Raw genomic sequence first — 11,217 nt, forward strand, 5'->3', positions numbered from 1 at the left:
TGCAGCTGCCTCCTTCCTCTTTATACCTCAAGGGATTATAGGAGGAAAAGTTAAGAAAAGCACTTCTATAGTAATTGACCAGTAACCCTGATTTTTCCGGTGGAAGATTAGGAAATGTCCAGGCACCATGGCTCATGCCTATAATCCCAGCACTTTGGGAGGCTGAGCCACATGGATCACTTGAGCCCAGGAGTTCAAGACCAGCCTGGACAACATAATGAGACCCCATCTCTACTTTTTTTTTTTTTGAGACGGAGTCTCGCTCTGTCACCCAGGCTGGAGTGCAGTGGCACGATCTTGGTTCACTGCAGTGTCTGCCTCCTGGGTTCAAGCGATTATCCTGCCTCAGCCTCCCCAGTAGCTGGGACTACAGGTGCATGTCACCACGCCCAGCTAATTTTTGTATTTTTAGTAGAGACAGGGTTTCACCATGTTGGCCAGGCTGGTCACAAACTCCTGACCTCAAGTGATCCGCCCACCTCAGCCTCCCAAAGTGCTGGGATTACAGGCATGAGCCACCACACCCAGCCTTTTATTTTTTTAATAAAAAGAAAAAAAGTTGGGAAATGGGCCAGGCACTGTACATGGCTCATGCCAGTAATCCTGACACTTTGGGGGAAGGTGAGGCAGGAGGATCATTTGAAGCCAGGAGTTCAAGGCTGACCTGGGCAACATAATGAGACCCCCATCTCTACAAAAACATTTTTTAATTAGCCAGGAGTGGTGGTGCATGCCTGTAGTCCCAGCTACTTGAGAGGCTGAGGCAGGAGGATTGCTCAAACCCAGGAGTTTGAGGTTACAGTGAGCTATGATCACACCACTGTACTCCAGCCTGGGTGATTGAGCAAGACCTTGTCTCTAAATAAATAAATATTTAAAAGTAAAAGAAAATTAGGAAACGAAAATATATCTTAAAGACTTTTAATCATTTTCAACTAAAATATTTTGGATAATACTGCCTTATATTTAGGCAGTATATATTAAAGATTTTCACATGCATGATTGTACTGTCGATGACCCTGCTGTATACTACTGATCTGATTATGAAGTGGTTGGCAGTTATTTATAGTAGTTAGACTTTTTTTAAATTGGTAGATTAATACCTAAAGCAATGCCAAAGTTATCCCAACCAAGGATTTCATTAATTTAGTCATTCAGCAGATATAGATGACTGCCTGCTATGTACAGTTACAGAACTGGACTTTACAAATAGAAATTAACAAACTCAGCCTATTTTTGCCCAGGGAAGCTGATCGCATTGATCATAAAAACCTCATTCGTAGTTTGAAAAATATTTTGTCAGATTATTTTCAGCACAACCTGCACATCTCCTTAAATTTTTTTAATGACCAGAGTTACCCCTTTTAAATAGAATTCTTCGTGTTTACTACATAAAAGTAAAATTCATACTGTTGTCTTGACACTTAGTTTTTATTCATTTTGAGATCTAAGACTGAAAAGTCTACTTGTTTAAATCCCCAATCACCTATTTTTTTCTTAAAAAGTGATTTATGTCATACCACTGTAGCAAATAATATGTTAATGTTTGTTTCATTTTCCTGAAAGAAGTAATGATTTTTACTTAGTGGTTAAATATTTTATAATGAAATTTTTAATGTTTATGTAATAAGGCAAGATTTTTGTTCATAAGGTATTCTGAAGAAAATTGAAAAATGTTTTATTACTAGTACATTGCAAATGTCTTGTCACTTCTTTAACATAAGACATAAATTTTATCTTAGAAAGTGTATCTGGCCATTGCAGTGGCTCATGCCTGTAATCCCAACACTCTGGGAGGCCGAGGTGGGCTGATCACTTGAGGCCAGGAGTTCGAGACTAGACTGGCCAACATGGCAAAACCCTATCTCTACTGAAAATATAGAAATTAACTGGGCATGGTGGCGCGCGCCTGTGATTCCAGCTACTCAGGAGACTGAGGCACAAGAATTGCTTCAACCCGGGAGGCATAGGTTGCATTGAGCTGAGATTGCACCACTGCACTGTGACAGAGTGAGACTCTGTCTTTAAAAAAAAAAAAAAAGTGTGTCCATCTGAAGAACTTTTAATTACAGCTAATGTCAATATGTACTGCTAAACCTTTTCTTACTTTTTTTTGATATATTAAAAGATCACATACTCATTTAATTACCTGTAATAATTTTACTTTTTCAACAAATGTCAGCATTTCTTTGTTCATTGGCCAGAGAAGGAACCCTGCTTTGTTTTTTTTCTTTCTCTCTGTAATTGATTAGATTTTCTGTTTAATTTGTGCGAGTTATTTTTGTTAATTTTTTTTTTTTTTTACTTAATTTCTTTTAGAAACATGTCATTCAGGTTTATCAAAAGGTAGGATTTATATATACACATTTATTTTTCAATCCTCACTCCCAAATGGCTCCTGCAATTAACATTAGGTTTGGCTTTCTGGCCCTGTTTTTTCCTTATAAACTAAACTTTCTGCTGATAACTAAATACTTAATTCCTTGAAAGGAAATTGAAAAGAAATAGATTAACTCTGTCAGGCATTTTAAAGGGACTATGGTACCCATGCAACAAAAGGCTGATGCATGCTCTGTGTATTTTCTTTCTTTGGTAGAATTATTTAGCATCCAAATAATTCTGTCTTCATACTAATAACACTTAGCATGCTCCTGTTTGAAGAATGAGATGCTCAGTAATGTTAATGTACAATTAATGATTATCCACAGGCATGCAAAAGGTAAGTATTAGTTGTGTTATTTTTATTTCACTGAGGATGGAATTAGCAAAAGGCTTTAAAATGACAGGAAAATTAGCTAATACAGAAAACAAGCATAAAATTCAAAGCTACAGCCTCATTTGATTTGGCTTTTTCAGAAATTAAAATGTGAACAGCTGCGTAGCAGAAATGTTTTAATATTTTCAGAGTTGAAAGCCACTTTCCAGCAACCACTGAAGAAAGAGTATCTCATTATTTTTACTTAAAGCACTACAGAAAGTGGTGTTCTGATTTTATTAATATTTTTTAGGCCAGGCATGGTGGCTTATGCCTGTAATCCCAGCACTTTGGGCGGATCACTTGAGCCCAGGAGTTCAAGACCATCCTGGACAACATGGCAAAACCCCGCCTCTACAAATAATATAAAAATTAGCCGGGCATGGTGGCACGCATCTGTGGTCCCAGCTACTCAGGAGGCTGAGGCAGGAGGATCACCTGAGCCCTGGGAGGTCAAGGTTGCAGTGAGCCATGATCATGCCACTGTGCTCCAGCCTAGGGGAGTGAGACCCTGCCTCAAAAAAGAAAAACATATTTTTTGATGGTGATAATCAAGAAACCAAAAATATTGCTTTCTTAATGCACACATGAGGCAGGAAATCTTTCCTGAAGGGCTACATTGTACCTGTGCCTCTCAAGTCACCAGAAGGCCAAGCTGCAGGTCAAAACTGCGGGAAAAGCACTTTCTTCCTGTTGGCAGTTCCATTCTATTATTATTTTTTAATTGATCTTCCCACTTGTCTGATTTTTCCTTGGACAGAACAGGTAATAACTGAATATAGAATCCAGCTGATAGCCTCATTGGCTTTTAATTGGAAACCCATTATACTGTGTGGCACAATTAGAAAGTGAGAATAACCCCATTCTGAGGCCGAGTGTGCTCAGGCTGAAGAGCCAGCAGGAGTGCCCGCTGTGCGTGCGTGGTGTGCGGTGTGTGCAGTGTGCAGCGTGCAGCGGTATGGCATGCAATGTGTGTGATGTATGCAGTGTGCAGCATGGAGCTGGCCCCTGTGCACACCCCTGCAGCCTTGTGGAAGAAGGTAGCGCTGGCTCAGTCAAATGAGAGGAAGAGTTTTCATAAGCCCGGCTGGTGTTTAAAACGTGTTTTGGCTTTGTTCATTTTATGGTGTTGGTGTTGGTATTGGTGGTCATGTACTGGCATGTAAGATTTCTTTTCTCTTTCCCTCTTCTCTCTGCTTCTACATTCTGTTCATTGAGGCTTCCAACTGAATATGAGAGGAACGGGAGATATGAGGGCTCAAGGTGAGGGAAATGATTTTTACTTAAAATTTTTTTCAGGTGTTTACTTCATTTCTGTGGCAGAGGCGACTATTTTCTGAATGTTCCCTACTGTATTCCTGCTGTCTCTGTAGGAGTTACGTAGAGAGGGTGGCCACAAGGGGGCGCCAGCCTGCCATGAGCACCGTCCAGATCCAGCTTGGCCTCCGCTCTACATTTGTGTTTGTGTTCAAAGCACGGCGAGGCCTTCAGCCTTCCTGCCTGGGCGTTAACAGCCTTTGGAGGTCTGGGTTGGGTAGCAGTGCTCAGAGAAATAAGCCCTCAGTTCATCACTGACCCCTCACATGGTTCTCTTCACAAGGAATAAAAGCAAAGTACTTAATAGAATGTCCATATTTCAAACTAGATATGTTTTCTTCTAAGAATGGTGATTATATAGTTGAGTGTTTTGCTTTTCTTTTTTTTTTTTCTGAGACACGGTGTCGCTCTGTCACCCAGTCTGGAGTGTAGTGGCGTGATCAGGGCTTACTCGAGTTCCCAGGCTTATGCGATCCTCCCACCTCAGCCTCCTGAGTATCTGGAACCACAGGCACTGCCACCATGCTGGCTAATTTTTGTATTTTCTGTAGAGATGGGGGTCTCGCCATGTTGGCCGGGCTGGTCTCAAACTCCTAGGCTCAAGTGAACCTCCCACCTCAACCTCCCAAAGTGCTGGGATGACAGACATGAGCCCCCGCACCCAGCCTTGCTTTTCCATTTTGTATAGTTATCATTGCATGGATTTGAGGGGAGGCAATCACCAGGTAGCCTTAGGACTCTATGTCCCTTGTTCTAGGTCTCTTCCACTTGTGCCCTTTTTTTATGCCAGTCACCAGCAGGCTATTTCAGGTCCTCATTCACCGTTTGTCCTTTTGGTCTTTCTAAAAGCCCGCTTCTGGTCATATGACCTTTCTGAATTAAAACCTTCAGTGACCTCCACTATTTCACCTGGCCACGTCCCTGCGAGGCCCTGAGTGGCGTGGTCCAGGCTGCCCCAGCAGCCCCAGCTCTGCTGCCCCATCAAGGCAGAGCACTAGGGTGAGTGCCAGGCAGCATTCCCTCTCCAGGCCTACCCATCCCAGCCAGGAGCAGGCTCTAGATCCTGGTTTGTTTCCCCACCCATAATAGGAAGGTGACATAATAGGACCTACGTGGGCATCAAGTAAGTTGGGGCCTGACCACCACAAGTGCTCATTAAGTGCCACCAGCTGTTGTGGGGGTGATGACACTGTGCCTCCAGTTCCACTCAGTCTGTGTACTTTATTATGCCACAGACACATCCTGTACTTTCCTACCTCCCCTTTGGCTGTGATCCCCTCTACTCAAAACAAACACTCTTCCCTATCTTCATTGCATTTTGTTGAAATCCCATGGCTCTTCATAGCTCTCCTCAGATGCAGGCCCACCCCCACCCGTGCTGTTTCCTCCTTGTCTCATCCTGCCTGTCACGTTCTCCTGCTCGGCGGGCTCCACCTCTTCTGCTGCCCTCTAGGAGATGGCCAGCCTTTCCTGTGCTGCCACTGTTGTCTCACCTTACAGTCTTCCTGGCTCCAGATGAGTTTGAGAGCTTTTGCTTATCTTTGTAACCCATTTAGTATCTAACGTGGCATTTTATACATAGGAAGCTTCTCTCATCAGTATTGGTGGATGTGAACCAAATTGAATACTGGCAGGTTGGTGACACGGAGAGCTATGTGCATATGCAAAAGCTGTAGCCCCTCACCTCTGGTTAGTTGGCCATAGGATGGAGTGTACTTAAGGTACATAGACTATTTTACTCCCAAGAATGCTAGGCACTCACTGTCTTAATTGAGGCCACCAGATACACACATGAGAATATAAATAACGGCTTGTGGCAATAATGACTAAATGCCAAGGAGTGGCTGGTAAACCGCGGTGTTCCCTAGAGACCCCGGCCTGGGCTCTACTTAGGCTGCCTCTTGGACATCAGACCAAGGCTTACATTCTGAATCCACAGGGCATCCACATGGGTGGTGTCAGTCCCCCACAGACAGAGAAGTGTCCCGTTGCATTTTTCCATCTATTCCAGTAGTAAGATTGTGTCATTTGAGATTTTCTTTAACTGTATAATTGGACGTTTAATTAACAAACCAGAGAGGAGGAAAAACAATGAGGTGGGTAGAGCATCATGTTCAGCCTCAGGGCTGTACAGCAAAGCAATTTTAGACTGCGGATGTTGAGTCTCCAGTTACCCTGAGTGCCAGTTACAGTGATTCACATCTGAAAGAACAGTACTGCAGGAGAGGGACAGCCCAGGGTGGATGGGTGGGGTGGGCAGGAGCTGGCTGGCAACTCCTTCCCTGAGCTGGGCCTGCAGAGCCCTGAGGAGTGGGGCATGCTGTCCTTTTTGCCTGATTTCCAAGGATTCTGCTTAACGAATTACTTCGTTCATTTTAGTAAGCACAGGTGGCTGGTGAAGATTTTCCAGCTAGGTAGATCTTTTTGTGTGTGGCTTATGACTTTTAGGGGGTGAGGGAAGAAAATAGACGAAAATAGACTTAGTTACAAATGTGAGTCTGTGCAGGAAAATGTGGAGGTCAGTCGTTAGTTGTGTTGTATCAAAGACGTGAATGAGGAACTAGCTGAAGTGTAAGAGGTTGATTTTCCTGTACGATTAAAAATAAACCTGCCTCTATGCATTTCAGTCGCAATGTATCTGCTGAGCAAAAAGATGAAAACAAAGAAGCAAAGCCTCGATCCCTACGCTTCACCTGGAGCATGAAAACCACTAGTTCAATGGATCCCGGGGACATGATGCGGGAAATCCGCAAAGTGTTGGACGCCAATAACTGCGACTATGAGCAGAGGGAGCGCTTCTTGCTCTTCTGCGTCCACGGAGATGGGCACGCGGAGAACCTCGTGCAGTGGGAAATGGAAGTGTGCAAGCTGCCAAGACTGTCTCTGAACGGGGTCCGGTTTAAGCGGATATCGGGGACATCCATAGCCTTCAAAAATATTGCTTCCAAAATTGCCAATGAGCTAAAGCTGTAACCCAGTGATTATGATGTAAATTAAGTAGCAATTAAAGTGTTTTCCTGAACACTGATGGAAATGTATAGAATAATATTTAGGCAATAACGTCTGCATCTTCTAAATCATGAAATTAAAGTCTGAGGACGAGAGCACGCCTGGGAGCGAAAGCTGGCCTTTTTTCTACGAATGCACTACATTAAAGATGTGCAACCTATGCGCCCCCTGCCCTACTTCCGTTACCCTGAGAGTCGGTGTGTGGCCCCATCTCCATGTGCCTCCCGTCTGGGTGGGTGTGAGAGTGGACGGTATGTGTGTGAAGTGGTGTATATGGAAGCATCTCCCTACACTGGCAGCCAGTCATTACTAGTACCTCTGCGGGAGATCATCCGGTGCTAAAACATTACAGTTGCCAAGGAGGAAAATACTGAATGACTGCTAAGAATTAACCTTAAGACCAGTTCATAGTTAATACAGGTTTACAGTTCATGCCTGTGGTTTTGTGTTTGTTGTTTTGTGTTTTTTTAGTGCAAAAGGTTTAAATTTATAGTTGTGAACATTGCTTGTGTGTGTTTTTCTAAGTAGATTCACAAGATAATTAAAAATTCACTTTTTCTCAGTAAAATCTTGCATTGTCTCCTAATGCTGTATTTAACACATCCTCAAGTTGAGCAGAAGTAATGTGTATGAAGGCTTGGGGCCACGTGGACCTTCGCAGGGGTCCCAGCATTTTGTGATTACCAGCATATTTTTTCTCCCAAGGCAATAAAGAGAGAAGATGGCCCTCATGGTGACCCAAGAAGGAAGGGAATCCAGAGCAGCTGCAGCTTAACCCTGGGAGTTGTGGCACAGCCCTATGGAGAAACACCAGGTCTTGACAGTTCTGGGTTGGTTCTCTGTGAAGTATGTAAATTTCCTTTCTCCTTTCTTGTGATTCAGTACATGAATCAGACCTGCAGCTTTTGTCCAACACCTACATGGTTGTGTAGGGGTAATGAGCTCATAACTCATTGTGTTGCTTTATTCTCACAGGGAAGTTGTCACACTGATTGGTGTGCTATTCTGGGTTCTGGGTTTGTTGTTGGTCAGAGTATGAAAGTCTGGAGGCCGGACACAGTGGCTCACACCTGTGAACCCAGCACTTTTGGGAGGCTGAGGCTGGAGGAACATTGAGTCTGGTAGTTCAGGACCAGCTTGGACAACATGGTAAGACCCCATGTCTTCAAAAAATAAAAACATGGGCCAGGGGCGGTGGCTCACGCCTGTAATCCCAGCAATTTGGGAGGCTGAGGCAGGCGGATCACAAGGTAAGGAGATCAAGACCAACTTGGCTAACACGGTGAAACCCCGTCTCTACTAAAAATACAAAAAAATTAGCCGGGCATGGTGGCGGGCACCTGTAGTTCCAGCTACTTGGGAGGCTGAGGCAGGAGAATGGCGTGAACCCGGGAGGGGAGCTTGCGGTGAGCCGAGATCGCGCCACTGCACTCCAGCCTGGGCGCTAGAGCAAGACTCCGTCTCAAAAAAATAATAATAATAAAATAAATAAATAATAAAAACATCAGCCAAGTGTGGTGGCACACCTGTGGTCCCAGCTCTTCGGGATGCTGAGGTGGGAGGCTTGAGCCCAGGAGGTTGAAGCTGCAGTGAACTGTGATTGTGCACAGCACTCCAGCTTGGGCAACAGAATGAGACCCTGTCTCAAAAAAAAAAGAAAGAAAAAGGAAAAAGTCTGGACAGTCAATCAGAAATATTGTTGTCTCTCTCTAGCGTGGGCAAGGCACTGTTGTGATTGAGATCCTCAGCAAAACAGACACCTCTCTCCTTGAGCCTGACATTCTAGGCAGTGGATAAACAAGTAAGTTACCTAGTATGGAGCACAGCAGCACGTGTGAGAGAGCGCAGAGCAGGCACGGGTTTCATCAGCACTCTGGGTGTGAAGAGTGCTGCTTGGGCAGAGGCCTGGGTGGGCACGTTCACACAGATTTCTGGGGAAGAGCACTGCTTGGGCCTGAGGCCTGAGTGCATGGCGTGCCTGGAGCAGAGCGTAGAGATGCTTCTCCTACATGGCAGCAGCTGAGGGGATGACAAGGGCCTTGTGGCCTTGGGCTTTCAGAGGATCACCAGGCAGCTATGTTTGGAACTCACTGAAATGGGGCAAGGAGAAGCTGGGAAAGCCGCCTGGAGGCTCTCAGCAGTAATACAGGCAAGAGGTAGTGCAGCCTTGGGTGAGGATGGGCCTTGGCGCTGATGGTGGTTGGGTTTTGGACATGTTTTGAAATAAGAGGCAACTGCATTTTCCCTGGAGTTGGATATGAGGTGAGTAGAGCCAAGGACAGCTTCATGATTTTTGATCTGAACAGCAAAAAGGCCGGAATTGCTGTTTGTTGAGATGCGGAATGTGGCTGGGGAGATGTTTGGGAACAGGAGGGGAAGAAGATGAAGAGAGCAAGCTGGAATGTGCTGAGTTTGAAGTCCCTTTAAACACTGAGTGGCAACGTCTAGTGGGCAGTTGGATAAACGTGAGGGGTTCGGCCAGGCGCAGTGGCTCACTCCTGTAATCCCAGCACGTTGGGAGGCCGAGGTGGGTGGATCACGAGGTGAGGAGATCGAGACCATCCTGGCTAACACGGTGAAACCCCGTCTCTACTAAAAATACAGAAAATTAGCCAGGCGTCGTGGCAGGCGCCTGTAGTCCCAGCTACTCGGGAGGCTGAGGCAGGAGAATGGCGTGAAGCCGGGAGACGGAGCTTGCAGTGAGCCGAGATCGCGCCACAGCACTCCAGCCTGGGCAACAGAGCGAGACTCTGTATTAAAAAAAAAAAAGTGTGAGGGTTGGGAGAGGTCGGGTCTGGGAGAGACCATAGGAAGCCCTCAGCAGGTGGAAGGCTCCTGCTCAAAGCTGTGAGACAGAGGAGAAACCAGGACTGAGCCCTGGACACAGCACGGGGAGAGGCCCCGGGGAGAAGAAGTGAAGCTGGCAAGGCAGCAGCAAGGAGGGAGGGCCCTCCAGGTGTCAGGCAGGTGGACATCATGACCTAAGGCTCACCTTGCGGGAACTTTCTAACTTGACTTTTAGCAAGTAAGTCCCCTTCCCTCTCTCTGTCCAGTGCCTTTCAGAGTGGAGTCCTCTAACGGAGCTGATTGTGCCCAGTCACAGACAGTGAGGACTTCCCCAGCTTTTTTTGCCTGGTGCAAGCTGGTTTTTATATCCCATTAAAGCATCATAAAGCCAACCCGGACAAGAGAATTGGGATGTCTCTCTGCACACATGAGCCTTTTTGTTTGTTTGTTTGTTTCCCCGGAGACGGAGTCTTGCTCTGTTGCCCAGGCTGGAGTGCAGTGGCGTGATCTCGGCTCACTGCAAGCTCCACCTCCTGGGTTCTTGCCATTCTCCTGCCTCAGCCTCCTGAGTAGCTGGGACTACAGGCACCCGCCACCATGCCTGGCTAATTTTTTTGTATTTTTAGTAGAGACGGGGTTTCACCATGTTAGCCAGGATGGTCTCGATCTCCTGACCTCGTGATCCACCCGCCTTGGCCTCCCAAAGTGCTGGGATTACAGGCGTGAGCCACTGCGCCCGGCACACATGAGCCTCTTTAAGGAGATCTACACACAGACTTCTCTCCCCCTTTGCTGTCCTTGTCTGTCACTGTCCCTTCTGCTGAGCAGAAAACCAAGGAGATGTTCTGCCATAAATTACTTCCTCCTCTGGGTAGATGTTTCTGAGCTGTTCTATGAAATTCATGACTACGAAACTGACTTCCTTAAGATTCCTACCCCAAGGCCAGGCGCAGGGGCTCATGTCTGTAATCCCAACAATTTGGGAGGCCGAGGCGGGTGGATCACCTGAGTTCAGGAGTTCGAGACCAGCCTGGCCAACATGGTGAAACCCCGTCTCTACAAAAATATAAAAAAAAATTAGCCAGGCATGTGGCGCACACCTGTAATCCCAGCTACTCGGGAGGCGGAGACAGGAGAATCGCTTGAACCCAGGAGGCGAAGGTTGCAGTGAACCGAGATCTTGCCATTATGCTCAAACCTGGGCAACAGAGCAAGACTTCATCTCAAAAAAAAAAAAAGATTCCTACCCCAGAAACACCCATCACAGCAGGTTCCTGTGCATAATTTCTGCAGAGGTGGAGCAGAGCCCTGCCAAGCAGAGGCTGGGCCACAGCGGACTTCCTCTTCCT

General features: G+C 46.0%; 1 protein-coding gene across 38 annotated transcripts in view; it reads left to right on the forward strand.

Annotated features, from left to right (window-relative positions):
* The window catches only part of MARK3 (microtubule affinity regulating kinase 3), a 118,417-nt gene extending 110,768 nt beyond the window's left edge, over positions 1-7,649 (forward strand). For 13 of the 38 annotated variants that reach the window (NM_001128918.3, XM_005267642.6, NM_001437366.1 and 10 more), the window contains 3 exons: positions 2,320-2,346; positions 3,974-4,018; positions 6,700-7,649. In NM_001128918.3, the coding sequence (NP_001122390.2) occupies positions 2,320-2,346; positions 3,974-4,018; positions 6,700-7,045 (418 nt within the window). In that variant the 3' untranslated portion in view covers positions 7,046-7,649. The remainder of the gene's footprint in view (positions 1-2,319; positions 2,347-3,973; positions 4,019-6,699) is intronic. The other 25 variants (NM_002376.7, NM_001437351.1, NM_001128920.3 and 22 more) reach the window with 3 other exon arrangements.

Source organism: Homo sapiens, chromosome 14 (genome assembly GCF_000001405.40).
Source record: "Homo sapiens chromosome 14, GRCh38.p14 Primary Assembly".
NCBI lineage: Eukaryota > Metazoa > Chordata > Mammalia > Primates > Hominidae > Homo > Homo sapiens.